This window comes from Homo sapiens, chromosome 1 (genome assembly GCF_000001405.40).
Source record: "Homo sapiens chromosome 1, GRCh38.p14 Primary Assembly".
In the NCBI taxonomy this organism is placed as follows: domain Eukaryota; kingdom Metazoa; phylum Chordata; class Mammalia; order Primates; family Hominidae; genus Homo; species Homo sapiens.
Genome location: NC_000001.11, coordinates 85,675,380 through 85,695,610, shown reverse-complemented (window position 1 = coordinate 85,695,610; position 20,231 = coordinate 85,675,380). Strand labels below are relative to the sequence as shown.

Genomic DNA, 20,231 nt, shown 5'->3' with positions numbered 1-20,231 from the left:
AAGTATATAACCATGGGAGAAATGTCTCTTTGATCTCTGTTTCTTTTAATCAATTATTTGTTTTTTTCTGAAGCTGAACAAAATATAGTGGCTTCAAATGCCAGCTCTGATGTTTACTAGTTTTGTGGCTTTAACTCTATATCTCATTTTCCTCATCAGTAAAATGGACAAAAGTATAATCTACCCACATATATACCAGTATTTTTGTTCCTTTTTAAACATTTTTTCAGACCTTTTTAGGATCATTTTGTTCTCCTTTTTAAGATTTCTTTAGTGACAGTCTCATAAAAATATGCTTTTTCAGTTTTTGTCTTAAAATATCTTTATTTCATCTTTTTTTTTGGAGACAGGGTCTCCATCTGTCACCCAGGCTGGAGTGCAGTGGTGCAATCTCAGTCTTCTCTCTGCAACCTCCATCTTCTGGGTTCAAGCAATTCTCTTGCCTCAGCCTCCCCAGTAGCTGGGACTGTAGGTGCCTGCCACCATGCCAGCTAATTTTTTTGTGTTTTAGTAGAGAGGAAGTTTTGCCATGTTGCCCAGTGTGGTCTTGATCTCCTGAGCTCAGGCAGTCCACCCACCTCAGCCTCCCAAAGTGCTGGGATTACAGATGTGCGCCACTGTGCCCATCTTATTTTCATTTTTTAATGGAAATACAGTACATACCAAAAAAGCACACAAATCATTAATGTACCAAGATCAAAAACATTACCAGCACCCCAGAAGTCTTTACTGCCCCCTATGGGAATACCTACCACCTCCTCCCAAGTTTCCTATTTCCCCTAACTTTGAATTTTATAGATTAGTTTTACCTATTTAAAGTTTTTTCCCATATTTTATTATGAAAAATTTGAGGCCAGCCGTGGTGGCTCATGCCTGTAAACCCAGCACTTTGAGAGGCCAAGGCGGGCGGATCACGAGGTCAGGAGATTGAGACCATCCTGGCTAACATGGTGAAACCCCGTCTCTACTAAAAATACAAAAATTAGCTGAGCGTGGAGGCGTGCGCCTGTAATCCCAGCTACGCGGGAGGCTGAGGCAGGAGAATGGTGTGAACCTGGGAGGCGGAGCTTGCAGTGAGCCAAGATTGTGCAACTGCACTCCAACCTGGGTGACAGAGCGAGACTCCGTCTCAAAAAAAAAAAGAAAAACGAAAAATTTGAAACATAAAGTTGAAAATTTTGCAGTGAATGCTTATATATCCATCACCTAAATTCTGTCATCAATATTTTACAATAATTGCTTTATCAGATATTTATCCATCCATTAACCCATTTTATTTTTGGTGCATTTCAGATTAAATGCAGGCATCCCTCTACTGGGCCCTGAATACTTAAGCATCGTTAACTAGAGTTCCGTAGTTTGCATTTTTGTCTGTTGATGTAAAATTTACACGTAATGAAATGCACAAATCTTAAGTATGTACATTTGCTGAGTTTTGACAAATACATGCACCTGTATAATCCAGTGCCTGTGAATAAATAGAACATTACCATCACCCCAGAAAGACTTTTCTTGTCATTTCCTCTCTTCCTTAGAGACAGCCTGTCCTTTTTTCCCCCTGTACATTTCTTTTGCCTGTTTTAAAATTTCATATATAGTCAGACAGCTCACTCTTACTTTTGTTTTTTGTTTATCTGTTTTTTACTTTTTAAAAAATAGAGTCAGCATCTTGCTGTGTTGCCCAGGCTAGTCTTGAACTCCTGGCCTCAAGCAGTCCTCCCACCTCGGCTTCCCAAAGTACTGGGATTACAGGCATCAGCCCCCACGCCCAGCCCCTTTTGAATGATAGTTTAGCTTCATATGAAATATCTTAAGTTGACATTTATTTTAGAACTCAGTTAATTTATATATTCCGTTGACTTCTCACTTCTTTTGCCACTATTGAGAACAGTGTTGTTTTATACATAGTCTTCCTTCTTTTCTCTTCTGATTGCTTTGAAAATATTCAATATTGTCTTTGGAGTTCTGCAGTTTCTATGATGTGTGTTGCAGTGCTATTTCTTTTTATTTTTATTCCTTGAGATTTGTTCTGCTGTCTAAATATGACAATTCTGGAAAAGTAGTAAGTTATCTTAATTTCTTTGTCTTTGCTACATTCCAAGTAACTTGTTCAGCTATATTGTCCAAGTCACTTTCCCTCCTCAGTTGTCTAATTAATCATATTTTTAGTCTATGCACTGTTTGTTTTTTAGTTTATTTTTCCCTGGAACCTCTGTTTCTTTCCCAAATCTTTCTCATCTTTTAGACAGAATTGTATTACTTACTCACTCACGTTGTAAGCTTCCTTTTTTTCTTCAGTAATTTAGAACACTTCTCATCTGTGTAAATAATCCCAGTATCTGAAGTTGTGTAAGTCTGGTACTGCTGTCTGCTTGGACTCTTTTGTGTGGACTAACCACCCATTTCCTCAGAAATGGACCCAATTTTTGACCTTCTTATCCCCACATTTGTCTCCAAATGATATTGGCCCTCAGTTCTTAACAATCCAGTTCTTCTGCTTACCATTCTTCTACCACTAACAGCTTAGAACTGAAAGTCCTTAACTTTTCAATTTATTCTTTTGAACTAGGGTTCTTTAGCTCTGTGTTTGTGTGTCTGTCTTTTACTTACAGTATGAAGATAATAGAGGTGCGCCTATTACTAAACAACTTAATATTTAAGAGCTTCAATCTGTTTTAGAAGCAAGCCACTAGGTGTCCCTCTTGTAAAGAAATAACAAAGCTTTTATGAATTCAAAAAATTACTTTTTGTTCTTTGGATAAAATTACATCATCCTTATTATATTGCAGTAATATACCTATTTACCCCTGTATTAATGTCAGTAGCACTTTTTTCCTTAAACAGTTATGTGGTAATGTACTTCTAAAAGCACAGGACTTTTTTTTTTTTTTTAACATGGTATCCTATAAATATAAGTAGTATAGGTTTGTACTTTGCTGCAAATTGGCTTTAGAAAAGAGTAAAGGAAAATGAAATGATGGGTTTAGCAGTTGTGGTCATGAGGAGACAAGTGGATTTTGCTGTGAGCTTTGGGGGATTATATAATAGGTGCCCAGTACAGACTTGTCAACTGATTGACAGCTCTGTGGTTTCTCTGCCATAATAGCTTTGATATGGTTTGATGGAAGAATTTCAGAACAACAGCAAGGATTTAGAAAAATAGTGTGGAAGAATAGAATCCTAATGGTTCCCCAATTGGGCCTCTACTTACTGCAGCCATGCAGACAGTGGTAAGGGAGTTCTTGTGACACAGCATCACAGAGGGTGTAACTTTCCACAGCAATAATTAGCCAGCATTCATAGAAATGTAAAGCCAAACACTCGATCATCTTGAGGTTCCCGAACTGATTCAGTTAAGGAAGCCTTTTCCCAGTCACCAAGTCCATCCTTTGTGATATGCCTCTAAAATGTGTCCCTTTCTTACTGCCTCCTTGACCGCAGCATTTATCAGCTGTAGTGTCCTATGCAGGCCCTTCTTACCTCACTCTGGACTGTTGAAGAACCCCATCTGCCTCCCGGGTTCAAGCGATTCTCCTGCCTCAGCCTCCTGAGAAGCTGGGATTATAGGTGCGCGCCACCAAACTTGGCTAATTTTTGTATTTTTACTAGAGGCAGGGTTTCACCGTGTTGGCCAGGCTGGTCTTGAACTCCTGACCTCAGGTAATCCACCCGCTTTGGCCTCCTAAAGTGCTGGGATTACAGGCATGAACCACCATACCCGGCGTTGAGACAGAGTCTTACTCTGTCACCCAGGCTGTAGTTAGTGGCGTGATCTTAGCGCTCTGCAATCTCCGCCTCTTGGGTTCAAATGATTCTTGTGCGTCCGCCTCTCAGGGAGCTGAGACTACAGGCTTGCACCACCACGCTCTGCTAATTTATATATTTTTAGTAGAGCTGGGATTTCACCGTGTTGGCCAGGCTCCTGGCCTCAGGTGATCCGCCTGCCTCGGCCTCCCAAAGTGCTGGGATTACAGGCGTGAGCCAGTGTACCCAGCCTATCTGTTAGATACACCTCTCTAAAACTTGTTCTCACCATAATGGTCAGCTACTTAGAATCCTTTAAGCTTCTGTGCCCACAAAAGTCATTAGCTCAGAGATATCTCAATTGGCCAGAGGCAGCATTGCCAGTAGATGAAATTTGTCATCTCATTTTTGAGTCTTGTACTGTCTGTACTCCATTCCGTAGCCTGAGGTTAACTCCTTCTTATCCCCCTCTCATTTGAAGTTGCTACTTCCCAGACAGTTGGAAATATAATTCATTTCAAGTATTCCTCATTAAACAAAACAGAGTAAGTCATCTTCGTTGTATTTGCTTTTTAAAGGAGGAATCACAATATAGTTAATATTTCTTGAATGTTTATTTTTTATTAAACATAACAAATTTTATTTAATCTTTGAGAGGAAGTTTTCTTGGCAAGTTACTTATTTCCCTGTGCCTATTGCCTTATCTGTAAGATGGAGACAGTAATAGTACCAGTTTTATGACTAGTGGTTTTCAGTTTATAGTGCATGCCAGAATTAACTGTGAGGCAATTTCAAAATGCAGAATAGATACCCGGGCTTGACCAGCAGAACTTGTTTTTTTGAGATGGAGTCTCGGTCTGTCACCCAGGCTGGAGTGCAGTGGCACGATCTCGGCTCACTGCACCCTCCACCTCCTGGGTTCAAGTGATTCTTCTGCCTCAGCCTCCTGAGTAGCTAGGATTACAGGCAAGCCCCACCACGCCTGGCTAATTTTTGTATTTTTAGTAGAGATGGGGTTTCACCATGTTGGCCAGGCTGGTCTCGACTTCCTGACCTCAAGTGATCCGCTCGCCTCAGCCTCCCAAAGTGCTGGGATTACAGGTGTGAGCTACCCCGCCCAGCCAAGGACATCTTTACTTCTAAAAAGCACCAGATGATTCTGATGTTTACCTCTACCTGAAAACCACTGATCTGTGTGCCTATAAGTCAATGACCTTATTCTCAATTAGTTCAGTCAGTGGGCAGACAAGACTGCAAACTCTTAAAACATAGTATAGTTAGTGTTGTGATGGAGTACTCATGGGGTATGGTAGCACAGAGGAGGACTCCCTGCCCCAGCCTTTCGAGGGAAGTGTTACTCACTGAGAGCAGGGAACAGGAAAGACTTCCTAGAGAAGATAGAATTTGAGCATGTTTTTAAGGATGAGAAATAGTTTTTATTTCTAGGTTTTTATCTAGACAGAGGGAAAGATGGTTCTGGTGGTGAGAATATCAGAAGCAAAAGCATAGTGTAGCAAAGTTAGCACAATGTAAGTAATTTGGTGTGCCTAAAAACCAGTGGGGGTTTGGTGAGCGATAGGAGATGAGGCTGGAGAGAGGCCCACTCTGCCATGCCAGGGAGTTTAGGTAGAGTCATACTTTGAGCAGGAAATCTTCCTGTTCGTACGAGTGATCCATATCTGAATGTGGATCTTTATAGTCTCTCTCCACCTTATTTCCTAATGTATTCAACTAAATGTTCCCAGGCTGGTCACCATTCTAAATCCTAGAATGTCTTTTTATTCCATATATTCTAGCCATCTGTGAGAGTACACATGATAGCTTATCTTCTCCATTATGTCTCTTTTACCTAGGTTCCTATAGTACATATTTTCTCCGCAGTTAATATGAAACAGATGCTAGCATTTAGTGCTGGTATTCATTTTTGGTATGCATATATCTGGTCTCCTTTCTACTTTCTAGTGTTTCTTAGTAGGGGCTCTATTGGCATTTTTGAATGGGACAGTTTTTTTGTTTTGTGGGGCTTTCCCATACATTGTAGGAATTTCCCATTCCTTGCCCCCTACCTACTAAATCCTCAAGTGCTCCCTAGTCTTGGAACAACCAAAACTGCCCAGCCATTTCCAACTGTCCCCATACTCCCAGCCCTCCCAGTTGAGAACTGCTTAAGTACTCAAGTATTCATCAATTTTTGGAAGTAAAAAGGTTCTTTTTCATTTCATTTCCGTCTTCACCTGCTATATCCATTTTCTTAATATACTTTCTACTAAAGCCAATACCACATAGTTAACCTTTTTCCTATTATTTTCATGCAGTAGTGGTACTAATTTTTAAAAGGACAAAAATATATAACTATTACTTCCCAAAGTATTTACATAATGATGTGAGACATAAAATTATGGTTTTCATTCTCCCAAATTCTAGTCATTTAATCTATACCAAATAATTAAACAGATTCTTTGTATTCATACTTCCAAAAAACACTTATCATGGTACTAATCCTAATAAAATAGATTATTTTTATAAGGAATGATTCCATTTATTTTTGAGAGACTTCAGATTTTCACCTTGGAATACATTTTAAAAGATTAAATGCCTGTGAATGAAGGATTATGTAGGTATTTTATAGATTTTGTATTTTTCTTGAAGAGTTCAAAATTTGTTATATTTTCTTTCAGCTTTAAATTAAGATTTTATAGCTGACAGTAGAACAAATTTTTTTCCTGAAATTTCATCAGGTATTATTCGCTGCTTCCAGATGTCATACAAGTTGACAATTTTAGTGTCTCTTCTTTTTCTATTGCTTATAAATGAAAGAGAAACATAGCAGAAATGTTTGTATCAATCCCTTGTATCAGTTAGGTTGCTTTATAGTTGCATGAAATAGAATACTCAGTTTAAACAGATTTGAGCTATATACAGAGGACATTTTGACTCTCATAACTGAATGTTCAGAGGTAGATGGACTTCAATTACAGCAACTTGGTTATATCATCAAGGACCCATTTTTTTTTCTGATTCTTTATTGTGTCCTTTATGGTGTCCATGTAATCCTCATAGTCATAGGATATTGCTGGTAACAGTTTGGGTTATAGTAAATATCCAGACAGAGTGCTTCTCTCCCAACATTACTAAACAGAAAACCTGAACTTCACCATGATTAGGCTGCCTACGTAATCTGCCCAGTCTGGAGCCATTGTGTCCAGGAAAGTATGTTGATTTTCTTAAGTCATAATGTACACCCCTAGAGGGTAGGCATAGAGTTCATTCATTAAGGTATGGTTATGGATTACGAAGGATGGTGGTGAGAGGTAGGGAACGATTGCGAAGTAAATAGTCAAAATGTCTACTATACCTTTTAAAAATGATTTTAAAATATGGAGGCAGATATTTAAAATAAAAAGTAACTGAGATACACTTGAATTCGCAGTACAGAAAAATACATAGTTTATTTTTGAACTTTCAATTCTAGAAAGCTCGTAATAATATAGCAGATCAGAGTATGGACTCTAGAGTTAAGAGGAAGCACTGCCTGGGCTCAAATCCCAGCAGCTCTGCTACTTTCCAGCTGAATAATGACCTTGGAGGAGTGACTTTCTTTTCTCTACCTTAGTGTTTTCATCTGTAAAATGAAATAATAATATTTTACCTCATAGAATTATAAGGATTAAAGGAGTTAATACATACATTTAGAACCATGCCTGACATTAAAAGCTTTTAAAACAAACTATTGTTATTTACTATTGCTACTTGCTGTGCTCTCTGGTAAAACAGTTTACTGGTAGTTTTTTATAACCTGTAGACATTTCTTTTTTTTTTTTTTTTGAGACGGAGTCTCACTTTGTCACCAGGCTGGAGTGCAATGGCACGATCTCGGCTCACTGCAACCTCTGTCTCCGGGGTTCAAGCAGTTCTTCTGCCTCAGCCTCCCGAGTAGCTGGGACTACAGGCGCACGCCACCATACCCAGCTAATTTTTGTATTTTTGATAGAGACAGGGTTTCACCATGTTGGCCAGGATGGAACCTGTAGACATTTCTAATGTAATTAGTGATACAGTATTCTGAAAACAGACATGTGGAATGTCTAGCTTTAGCTTACCTCATGGAGTCACCTGTGTTTAAAAATCAGAAGTAAAAATTTTAAGCATATTTGAATTGACATGATATGTCAATGTGATTCTCAAAAGTAGTTGGAAATACTTCTCTTAATAACTATAAACAAGGGCTAAAAAGTTAATGTCCTGAATATACTATGGAAACACTTATTAGGAGAGTTAAGTAGTAGGATGATGAATCTCCCTGTAAGCCCTTCAATTCACTGTTTTTTAAAACCTTTGTTAATGGTGCATTAATTACAAGATAGAATCCATACTGCTTAGCAGAGCATTCAGGGCCCTTTATAATCTGGTATTAATGTGTCTAGTTTCATCTCTAGCCACTAAACACTAAGTTTAATGTGAATAGAGTTTGCTTATGAAATCACGGCAAAATACTCTGTTTAAAGACACTGTCGGTATTTGATAGTAACATTTTTGAGTACTGGGTTCTAAATTGTTTTTTTTTTTTGTTTTTTTTTTGTTTTTTGAGATAGTCTTCTCACTCTTGTCACCCAGGCTAGAGTGCCGTGGCACAATCTCAGTTCACTACAGCCTCCACCTCCTGGATTCAAGTGATTCTTCTGCCGCAGCCTGCTGAGTAGCTAGGACTACAGTTGAGCGCCACCAATCCTGGCAATTTTTTTTTGTTTTTTGTATTTTTAGTAGAGGTGGGGTTTCACTATGTTGTCCAGGCTTGTCTCGAACTCCTGACCTCAAGTGATCCACCCATCTCGGCCTCCCAAAGTGCTGGGATTACAGGAATGAGCCACCATGCCCGGCCTCTAAACTCTTGATATATTATTTATTCATTTAATTGTGATAGAAATACCGTTGTTATCCCTGTTTTACTATGAGAAGCCTGAGGTACAGAGAGATTGTCTCTTGCTGAAGAACATGTTAAGAAATAAATTATTAAAATGGGATTCAAACGCAAAGTCCACTTAACCTCTCCCCCATCCTACCTCTGGACCTTATAGTATATTGAGCCTTCTTGCTATGTACAGTGTCAATAAAGAACAGGAAGCTTTCATATGAAAATTGTGAAATGGAGGGAAAAATGCAGTGCCCAACATTGGTGATTGACTTGCTGCCCTAAAAAGAAGTCCGTGTTGGACTCATCTCCTTGTTGGTCTCTTTGTCCTTAATGTCTAGTGAGCTCTCGTTAGTGTTCTTTGGGTATATGTTGGTTAATCAGTGTTGGAGTGGGATGAGAATTGGTGATTAAAAAAAAAAGAACAGAAATATTCAAGCTTCTTTAAACTTTGTATTAGAAATCTTCATTCTTTGAGTTTAGCCTCCGTTTGTAACTCTTAGTTGTGGCACATTTCTTAGGAAGATAGCCTTGAGACCATCAAAATGATGAGATAGGTAACCCTCGTTCTGGTTCAGTACTAGTTTCTAAGATAAAAAAGAGAAATATATATTTTTTTTCTCAAAGGGGGCAAAAGAGAATTCTTAAATGAATACTTCTAATAGTGAAATATGTTTAAGTTTAAAAAGAATGTTAAGGGTGGGTGCGGTGGCTCACACCTGTAATTCCAGCACTTTGGGAGGCCGAGGCGGGCGTATCATAAGGTCAGGAGATTGAGACCATCCTGGCTAACATAGTGAAACCCCGTCTCTACTAAAAATACAAAGAATTAATCAGGTGTGGTGGCGGGCACCTGTAGTCCCAACTACTAGAGAGGCTGAGACAGGAGAATGGTGTGAACCCAGGAGGTGGAGCTTGCAGTGAGCTGAGATCGCACCACTGCACTCCAGCCTGGGCGACAGAGCGAGACTCCATCTCAAGAAAAAAAAGAAAAAAAAAAAAAGAATGTTAAAATTATTCCTGTTCTTTCTATCACTGCCATCCTGTATGCGCCCATGAATGCATCTTTGACTTTACTGATTATGAAAAGTAACAAATCAGCCAGGTACGGTGGCTCACACCTGTAATCTCAGCACTTTGGGAGGCTAAGGTAGGAGGGTCACTTGAGCTCAGGAGTTGGAGACCAGCCTGGGCAACATAGCAAGAGCTTGTCTCTACTAAAATTCAAAAATACAGCCAGCTGTGGTAGCTACTTGCAGGGGCTGAGGCGAGAGGATCACTTGAGCCCAGAAAGTCAGGGCTGCAGCAAACCCTTTTTGGCCACTGCACTCCAGCCCAGGCGACAGAGTGAGACCTTGTCTCAAAAAAGGAAAAAAAAGCCCACAAATCATTATGTGGAAGATTTATTTAATAATACAGACATATTCGTAGGTAAAAATTAAGTCAAGTCCTTTTATAATGTCAAGAAATAATCATAGCTAAAAGTTTGGGGTATGGCCTTCATACTTGCCAATATATGTATAAACCTGTGTTTTAAATATAAAGGCTATCATTCAACATGCACATTTTTCTACATCAGTACATAAAGTTCTGCCTCATCTTTTATGACTACTTAAAATTCATTATGTAGATGTACCATGATTTATTTAATCAACTTTCTGATGATGTACATTTAGGTTGTTTCTAATTTTTTTCTATTATATAAAGTGGTGCAGTGGACATTTTATATATATATCATTACTTGACCAATTATTTCCTTGGGATACATTTCCAGGAATAAAACTATTGAGGCAAAAATATACAGTTTTTCAATTACAAATTTTTATTTATAGCTTTTATGAAATTGAACTACCAGTAGCTTGCACCAATTTATATTCCTGTCAGCAATGAAGTTGCCACACTTTTGCCACACTTCCTTAGTATTTCTAATTTAAAAAACATTTCTACAAACCTGAAAAGGAAAAATATTTTATTTATATATACATTTCTTTGGTTATTAATGAATTTGAACATCTTATTGTGACATTAGAGCAGTGCCATTTAAAAGGACCTAATGACTTTTGATTTGCATCTTTTTCCTTGGGATTGTGGTAGTATTCCCCATACGAAAATTTGCAATTTGAAGTTATGAAGTCAAAAGAATAATTTAGATTATGGTTATAGAACCTCTTTCCTTAAATGTGTGTGTTCATCCACATACTTTCTTGAAACTGTGGGAGAGAATGATCCCTTTTCTTTCTATTTTTGTAAACAAATGGGCCACGGAGAGACTGATCCTTAACAGTTTCTAGTAAGCAAGTGTTGGTAAATAAGTGCTCTGTATTAACTCACTGAAAATGAGTATAAAATATTTATTTTCCTCATTTAATACAAGTGCCATCTAAGTATTTTTCAACTTTTTTTTTATTATTGCCTCCCAAGGAGCTTTCTGCCGTGATATTTTGATACCATAGATACACTGTATATCTGTTGCATACAGTAGCCCTTTGTAGGGCCACAAGCATTAAAATAGCAAGATTTTGTTGGCCCTTCAGAGAACCAGTTTTTGCCCTCTTTGGGGCCATGCTGCCCTCATTGAGAATGCATGTGTGTATTGATATTTAGAGGAGGAGAGGGAAACAGCTTTGCTATGCATGAATAGTTACTTGGGTTTCATAGGACTCAGAAGAGGTTAGTGTTTCTGTTGCTTTGTCAGATTGTCCAGAAGGGAACATAAGGATTAAGTTGCCACAATTACTCCACCAGTCTTATCACCCAACTCTAAACATGGTATCTTGGAGTCCCTAAGTTACCTAGAATATACTAGGTATAGTAATACCATTTTTGAGAACGTTGATATGCCAAGGGTATAGTGACATTATTGTAGTTGAAGGCATTTTGTTGAATTTAGGGAACAGTAGCTCTAATGCATTAGGAGTAATTGTAAATGTTCAAACCTTTATCCTTGTGGTTCTCAAACAGTGATGATTCTGCTTCCAGGGGACATTTGCAATTTCTGGGAGCATTTTTGGTGGCCACAACTGGGTGTATGAGTGTTCCTAGTGGAACACTCATCTAGAGGGTGGAGTCCTAGGATGCTGCTAAACGTCCTGCAGTGCAAAGGACCAAGTCCTTTGCAAAGAATTATCTAGTCCAAAATATCAGCACTGCTGAGATTGAGAAACCCTGCTCTGTCTTAGTGATTGTACTTCTTGGAATCTAGCTTTAGAAAGTAATCCAAGTAATGTTGCTAGGATTTTGATGTATGTATATTTTTTTAAGTGGGACATATATTTGTATATATAATTATAAAAAAATGAGAAACAAGCTTAATTCTTTCAGTCTTAAGAAGAACACATGTCAGGACTTACAGTAATTTCAGCAATACTGAAGAATTGGAAACCATTTTAGAGAAAATTAACTCACCCATTTCAGCAATTTTTTTTTTTTTTTTCTGTGACGGAATCTTGCTCTGTCGCCCAGGCTGGAATGCAGTGGCTCAATCTCAGCTCACTGCAAGCTCCGCCTCCCGGGTTCAAGCAATGTGATTCTCCTGCCTCGGCCTCCCGAGTAGCTGGGACTACAGGCACATGCCACCACACCTGACTAATTTTTTGTGTTTTTAGTAGAGACGGGGTTTCACCATGTGAGCCAGGATGGTCTCGATCTCCTGACCTCATGATCTGCCCACCTTGGCCTCCCAAAGTGCTGGGATTAGAGGCGTGAGCCACCTTGCCTGGCCTAGCAATTTTTTCTTTTTTTTGAAACAGGGTCTCATTGTGTCACCCAGGTGAAGTGCAGTGACGCAGTCGCAGTTCACTGCAGCCTTAATCTCCTGGGCTCAGGTGATTCTCCCACTTCAACCTCCAGAGTAGCTGGGACTATAGGCATACGCCACCATGCCTGGCTCATTTTTGTATTTTTTGTAGAGATGGGGTATCATCATGTTGCCTAGGCTGATCTCAAACTCCTGGGCTCAAACGATGCGCCCACCTTGGCCTCCCAAATTGCTGGGATTATACAGGCTTTAGCCACTGCGCCCATCCCCAGCAGTTCTTTATACAACACCCTTCAACTTCTGTTTGCCCACCTTGGGTTAAAGTACATATAAAGAATCATCTACTGTTATCAATAGCCCTTTATTTCTTAGAAGAAATAAAAGTACCTCAAAAATACGGCAATTTGTAAATGAGTTAAATCTGAATATGGGTGCATTGAGTGTTCTTTACATTATTCTGTTTTTCTTTGTTTTTGAAATATTGGAAGATCACATTTTAAAAGTTAGTGTACTTTTCAGATTTGTTCATGTGTGAGCTGAGGCCAAATATAGAAATATTTTTATCAATAATTTGGCAATGTATAGCAATGAATGACTTTGTTATAAGTAGAGCTAGTTAACTACAACAAATAAAATGATTTCCGAGGGCTTTTCTCTCTGTGTTTGGAATGTTAAGTGCTTTCTGAATGTATTCAGGGTGTATTAAATGTTAAAAGGCGAATGGTTTTTGAAATTACTCAAGCAAGAATTGGGGTGATTGAGTATGGTTTACAATTCCATAAGATGGCAAGTTGGTAATCCTTTTTTTCCCTAAGTTAACCTGAAAAAACATACATTTAGGAAGAAACTATATTATGCATTAAGATGAACAAAATGAGGCCGGGTGCGGTGGCTCATGCCTGTAATCCCAGCACTTTGGGAGGCCGAGCCAGGTGGATCACGAGGTCAGGAGATCGAGACCATCCTGGCGAACGTAGTGAAACCCTGTGTCTACTAAAAATACCAAAAAAAAAAAAAAAAAATTAGCCGGGCGTGGTGGCGAGCACCTGTAGTCCCAGCTATTCAGGAGAGAGGCAGGAGAATGGTGTGAATCCGGGAGGCGGAGCTTGCAGTGAACCGAGATCATGCCACTGCACTCTAGCCTGGGCAACAGAGCGAAACTCCGTCTCAAAAAAAAAAAAAAAGATGAACAAAATCTGTTTATTTCTTATTAAAAAAAAAAAGTCAGCCTTGTGATAATGCTATTATGGTATTCCTATTTCACAGATAATGAATATTGCAAAATGTTTTATTTTGGAAGAATTATTTATTTAAAACTAGTAACTGTTGCTTTTGCATTCAAATTTTTAAATGTTTTTTCCTCTGAGATTTTAGACATCTGTCCTTTAGATTAGTAAAGGGTACTTTTCAACTTTGTTCTCAATAAAATTATGTTCTTTGTCTTCTGACAGAAATTCTACTAAATCATATAGATGTTTGGTGAAAGATAGATTGTATTAAAAGAAAATTATTTTAGATTTTGGGGTCCTACTGCTATGGGATAGATTTTAAGGAGATATCGGTAGTCATTAACTTGCTCTAATGGATTGTTAGAAATTTCTTCTAAGTAAGGAAAACATTGTGTAAAATCATCATGTAGTGAAGACATTTAAATTTCTGTATTGGATTCAATATTTTGAGCATTAGAATTTTTAAAGAAGGAATCATGTCAATGTCTCTAAATTTAGATATATTAAATATAGTCATTTTTCTAAAATCAGACATTTAGTGAGTTATTGCTGTTGATGCTATGTCAAACCAAAGTTTAGACCTGAAAGCAAAAAGACTGTAGCTCAAAGTGCATTCTGCTTAGCAACCAGCTTGTTGTCTCCTGTTTTGCTACTGAATGCACGTACTCATGCCTCAGAAGTGTATCTCCAGCCAGCTGGACTCAACCGGACAATACTTCATTCACCTAATTTCCAGACTAGTCAAGCAAAGACATCAGCTCATTGTATTTAGTCATGAGGAAATTTATTTGTAAACTTCAAATAGTAGCACACTGCTCCCAAAAGCCCCTGAACTATGAGAAATTGCTTTCTGATTCAGAAATGTGAAGTCCTTGGAATTTAGAACTGCTTCCCTTTTTTTTCTTTCTTAATAACCCTTGCAAGAGAAATTAGCTCTTAATAGAAAATATATGTTAAAGTCTAAGAATAATTTTGGAATTATCTTAAAGTGAAAATTTAGAAAGTTCAATTTGCATCCAGACTTTTATTATCTACCTTGATTCTCACATGATTATTTTCTCTCTTAGAAAACAACAGTTTTGTTGGCATGTGAAGCTCCAGTTTCCTCAAAGTCAAGCTGAGTACATAGAAAAAAGGTATCACTGCTATCTTTCAATCACTGATTTGTTTTAATTTGAAGGCTGTGTATTTAAAATAAACTGTTAACTTAATGTCAGTAGTAGAATGGATAACTAAATTGTGGTGTATTTATACAATGAAATGCTAAACATCACTAAAAATGAACTACAGCTATGCACATCAACATGGATGAATCTCAGAAATAATATAAGAAAAGCAAGTTAAGGAAGAATGTAGAGAACATGATTGTAAATATGGGGGAAAAAAGCCAGAAAACTAAATAGTGTACTTTTGGGAATACCTACAAAGGTGATAGAACTAACTCTAAGGGAAATTATTAACATAGAAATCCTGATGATGGTTTCTTTAGCAGCAAAGCAAGTATTGAGGAGAGGGATCCGAGGAGAATTAGACGGCTGAAAGTTTCCTATTTCTTCAGCTGGGTGGTTGTTAAGGAAGTGAAAAATGACCCAAAATTCTACCATGCAAAGATTACTACTATTAACATTATAGTGTATCACTCAGAAAATACATTATTTTAGAAGTATATATGTGTACTCATTGGAATTAATTTGCATAAAGTTTTTGTGTTACTGTTTCATATTAAAACTTGTTCTTTTCTTTTTCTTTATTTTTGGAGGGGAGTGGGGGCAGGATCTTGCTCTGTTGCCCACGCTGGAGTGCAGTGGTGCGGACCTCCGCTCACTGCAGCTTCAACCTCCTGGGCTCAGGTGATCCTCCTACCTCAGCCTCCAAGTAGGTGGGACTAAAGGCTCAGGCCATCACGCCCAGCTAATCTTGTTTAGTTTTGTAGAGGCAAGGCCTCACTATGTTGCCCAGGCAGGTCTCAAACTCCTGGCCTCAAGCAATCCTCCCCTCTCTGCCTCCCAAAATGTCGGAATTACAAGTGTGAGCCACCGCATCCAGCCTATAAACATTTTCAAGTGTCATTTAAACATTTTAATGTTGGCCAGATGCAGCGGCTCACACCTATAATCCCAGCACTTTGGGAGGTCGAGGCGGATGGATTGCCTTTGGCCAGGAGTTAGAGACCAGCTTGGCCAACATGGTGAAACCCCGTCTCTACTAAAAATACAAAAATTAGCTGGGGGAAGTGGCGCACCCCTGTAATCACAGCTACTTGGGAAGCTGAGGCATGAGAATAGCTTAAATGCAGGAGGCGGAGGTTGCAGTGAGCCAAGATCATGCCACTGCACTCCAGCCTGGGCGACAGAGCAAGACTCTGTCTCAACAACAACAACAAAAAAATTAAAAAAAAAAAAAAAAAACATTTTAATGTTTGTGAACTATTTCATTCCTTGATTTAGGAAAATTTTAAAGTTGCTCTTTAAGTAGTATATTTAGCATATTCCTATATTATACATAAATATCCTCTCTTTGTAGTTGTCAAAGGGATTTTAGTGAAGAACTTTGTTATTTGGAGTTGCATACAAGGAAAAGACTTATTTTACATCTAGGGGTATGTAGCCAATAGTATATATGAATATGTATAAATGGTTGAGGAAAGTTACTGTTTTAAAACAGTGTCTTAATTTTGTTTATACAGCTTTATAGATAAGTTTAAAACAGCGTGCATATATGGAAGAAAGTTGGAAAACTTAAAATGTTTTGTTTCCAAGGAAATTACTATCAATTTTTTAACTTGGTCTTATAAATTAGAATGAGTAAATTTGAACATGCACTGAAATCTGAAACCTTTTTTCAGATTTATTATTTCTGCTAGTTTCAAATATATTTTATCCTGACCTCGTCTTTTCATGTTTGAGTACAGGTGTGTGTTAAGAGGCTTCATATTTTTATAATTGATTTATACAGAACTTCTCAAAATGTTGTTTTTTAAGACCTTAAGTGTGTCCAAGAACTCTTTTTGAGCTTTTTCCTAAGTAATTTTTGCTTAAAATGATATTTTATTTTGCCAAGAGTAATATAAAAGGTCTTTGTTCAGTTATTTAAACCAAAAAAGCCACAATATTTAATAATTCAAAATTAACACCTTTAGTAGAAAATTATAAATACTAATATAGCTTGTTTTTTTTTCTTTGTTGTAAAGAGTACCAGATGATAAAACTATTAATGAAATCCTAAAACCTTACATTGATCCTGAAAAGTCTGATCCTGTAATTCGTCAAAGGTATGCTTCAAAAATATTGTAACTTTCTGAAATAATTAAAAATGTTGATGTACTTATTAGGGTCATCCATGACTATTAGAATGTGATGTGTAGTACAATTTACTTTCTATCACATTTTCTTGGTGTTTACTGAAGGTCTGTCTGTAGAAATAGCTGACATTCATTGTTTCCTATGTTCCAGACACTCTTCAAAGCAGACAGTAATAAATGTGTTAATTCATTTAATCCTCACAATAACTCTGAAAAGTAGATTATTATTATACCCATTTTACAGATGGAGAAACTGAGCCTTGAAGTGGTTAAGTAATATCCTATAGCTAGTAAACAGGGAAGCTAGGATTCACACCCAGGCAGTCTGGAGTCAAAGTCTTTACTCTTAACCCTTAAACTAAACTACCTTTGAGGTTGAACGAAAAACTCTGAAAATGAAAAGTTTCCAAGTAACTTAAAGACAGGAAATCCTGTTTCAGCCAAGTCTTCTTAGAACTAAGTAAAGTACACTCTGCCTCCTGTCCAGAAATACAGCATGGACAAAAGTGGTTAACATAACATAGTGGAAAGATTCAGTCATGGATATCTGGGTTAAAATAGCTGTTTCTGTCCCTTATTAGCTGTGTGATTAAGAGCAAGTTACTTAATTTCCAGGCCTTATTTTTTCTCATCAGTGAAATAAGAATGATAACACTTCCTAGATAGGGTTGTTACAAAGCTTAAAAGAAATAGCATATATGAAATTCCTAGTACAGGACCTAGCATATAGTAGACACTACTCGAAAACGGAGATTGTTATTAGAGTGTGAGTTATTAGTGCTCCTGGGCAGAAACCCGGTTGACTTTATTTTCACCAGATGGTACTTGCTTGGGATGTGAATGAGTGCTTGGTTTGGTTCCAGAATAACCTGGTATTTAAAATTTAGACTGGGTGGATTCTAAAATGTCTAATCCAGTTCTAATTGAATCTCATTCTTTTGCTTTTGATAAAAGGTCATGCCCAGACTGAACCAGACCCATGTCACATATCAAGCAGTCTTTAAAATAGCTATGATAGTTGAGTTTCTTTCCTTATAACTGGTAACCTAGTTATTATCATTAGTCATATATTTGCCAGTAAGACAAAATGTCACTGAATAGGATACATTTTTGTAAAATTATATAGCCAGATTAATTTATTGAAACAGGTGTTTTAAAATTTAAGATGTTTAATTGAACAAAGGAAAAAAATTATTTTCTTTTCAGATTTCTGGTTAGAAAACATCTTTATCTCCTTTTCTATGCTTAAATACATGAACTTTTAAGTATTATTAGGTACAAATGCTTAGTCTCCATAAGACTATCTTGAAATATATTAAAAATCAGCTTTTCCTTCAATATGATGTTTTTATTTCAGGTTGAAAGCCTACATTCGCTCTCAGACTGGGGTTCAGATTTTAATGAAGATTGAATATATGCAGCAAAATTTAGTAAGGTAAAATTGCTCCCCTCCCCATTTCTTTAAATATTTTTTAGTTCTGTAATATAATTAAGTAGCTTGATTAGCTCAAGTTATTAAACTAATTATCTAGCTATGAACATGACTTTTACTTTTCAACTTTCAAGTCAAATTCAAAATAATCAGACTTATAGGATAAATTGGGTTGAAAAATCACCCTGGTTAGAATATTTTATTTTCCGTCAACTGATATAGGGGAAATAGAATATTTTAAAATATAAGCATTCTTTTATTTGTTCTATTGTGGTTTACTTCACTGAGCTTTACAGGTATTGCATTCTTTACAAATTGAAGGTTTGTGGTAACTGCATTGAGCAAGTCTATCTGCACCAGTTTTCCAACAGCACATGTTCAGTTCAAGTCTATGTGTCACAGTTTGGTATTTCTTGCAATATTTCAAACTTTTTCGTTAGCACTATATCTGTTATGGTGACCTGTGATACAGTAGTAACACTTTAATGTTACTTCTGTAATTGCTTTGGGTGCACCACAATATAAGGTGGCAGCCTTAAATGTGTGTGTTCTGACTGCTCTACCAACCACTCATTCACCCATCTCTCTCACTCTCCTCAGGCCTCCCTATTCCTTGAGACACAATAATATTGAAATTAGGCCAATTAATAACCACACAATGGCCTGTGAGTGTTCAAGTGAAAGGAAGAGTCACATCTCTCACTTTAAATCAAAAGTGGAATGATTAAGCTTAGTGAGGAAGGCATGTTGAAAGCCGAGATAGGCTGAAAGCTAGGCCTCTCCTGCTAGTTAGTCAAGTCGTGATTGCAAAGGAAAAATTCTTGAAGGAAATTAAAAGTGCTACTCCAGTGAACACAAGAATGATAAAAAAGTAAAACAGTCTTTTTTTTTTTTTTTTTTTTGAGACGGAGTTTCACTCTTGTTGTCCAAGCTGGAGTGCAATGGCGTGATCTCGGTTCACCGCAACCTCCGCCTCCCAGGTTCAAGCGATTCTTCTGCCTCAGTCTCTTGAGTAGCTGGGATTACAGGCATGTGCCACCACGCCCGGCTAATTTTGTATTTTTAGTAGAGACGGGGTTTCTCCATGTTGGTCAGGCTGGTCTCAAACTCCCGACCTCAGGTGATCTGCCTGCCTCAGCCTCCCAAAGTGCTGGGATTACAGGCGTGAGCCACCGCGCCCGGCCAGTAAAACAGTCTTATTGCTGATAGGGAGAAAGTTTTAGTGGTCTGGATAGAAGATCAAACCAGCCCGAACATTCCCTTAAGCCAAAGCCTAATCCAGAGCTAGGCCCTAACTCTCAACTCTATGAAGGCTGAGAGAGGTGAGGGAGCTGCAGAAGAAAAGTTTGAAGCTAGCAGAGGTTGGTTCATGGGGTTTAAGGAAAGAAGCCATCTCTATAACCTGTGGGTTATGTGTGGGGTGAAGCAGCAAATGGTGATGTAGAAGCCACAGCAGGTTATCCAGAAGATCTAGCTAAGATAACTGATGAAGGTGGCTACACTAAACAGATTTTTCAATGTAGACAAAATAGCCTTGTATTGAAAGAAGATGGCATGTAGGACTTAGCTAGAGAGGGGAAGTAAATGCCTGCCATAAAAGCTTCAAGGGATGGACTGACCCTCTTGTTAGGGGCTAATGCAGCTGGGGACTTAAAGTTGAAGCCAGTGATCATTTACCATTCCAGAGATCCTAGGGCCCTTAAGAATTATGCTAAATCTATTCTGCCTGTGCTCTGTAAATGGAACAACAAAGCCTGGATGACAGCACATCTGTTTATGGCATGGTTTACTGAATATTTTAAGTCTACTGCTCAGAAAAAAAAGTTTGTTTTCAAAACATTGCTGCTTATTGACAACTT

At 37.8% G+C, this 20,231-nt stretch overlaps 1 protein-coding gene across 5 annotated transcripts in view, besides 2 other annotated features; it reads left to right on the top strand.

Annotated features, from left to right (window-relative positions):
* Window positions 1-20,231, top strand: part of ZNHIT6 (zinc finger HIT-type containing 6) — a 59,017-nt gene that overhangs the window by 12,823 nt on the left and 25,963 nt on the right. For 4 of the 5 annotated variants that reach the window (NM_001170670.2, XM_024447736.2, NM_017953.4 and 1 more), the window contains 3 exons: window positions 14,707-14,775; window positions 16,830-16,910; window positions 18,298-18,375. In NM_001170670.2, the coding sequence (NP_001164141.1) occupies window positions 14,707-14,775; window positions 16,830-16,910; window positions 18,298-18,375 (228 nt within the window). Of the gene's footprint in view, window positions 1-14,706; window positions 14,776-16,162; window positions 16,239-16,829; window positions 16,911-18,297; window positions 18,376-20,231 lie in introns of those variants that run through there. The other variant, XR_007061268.1, reaches the window with a different exon arrangement.
* Window positions 3,139-3,639: an enhancer, noted in NCBI's record as "H3K27ac hESC enhancer chr1:86157655-86158155 (GRCh37/hg19 assembly coordinates)". NCBI's record gives its function as "activates a minimal SCP1, AML or CMV promoter by ChIP-STARR-seq in primed H9 embryonic stem cells {active_cell/tissue: H9 hESC(primed)}" and the evidence as "EXISTENCE:reporter gene assay evidence [ECO:0000049][PMID:30033119]".
* Window positions 3,640-4,140: an enhancer, noted in NCBI's record as "H3K27ac hESC enhancer chr1:86157154-86157654 (GRCh37/hg19 assembly coordinates)". NCBI's record gives its function as "activates a minimal SCP1, AML or CMV promoter by ChIP-STARR-seq in primed H9 embryonic stem cells {active_cell/tissue: H9 hESC(primed)}" and the evidence as "EXISTENCE:reporter gene assay evidence [ECO:0000049][PMID:30033119]".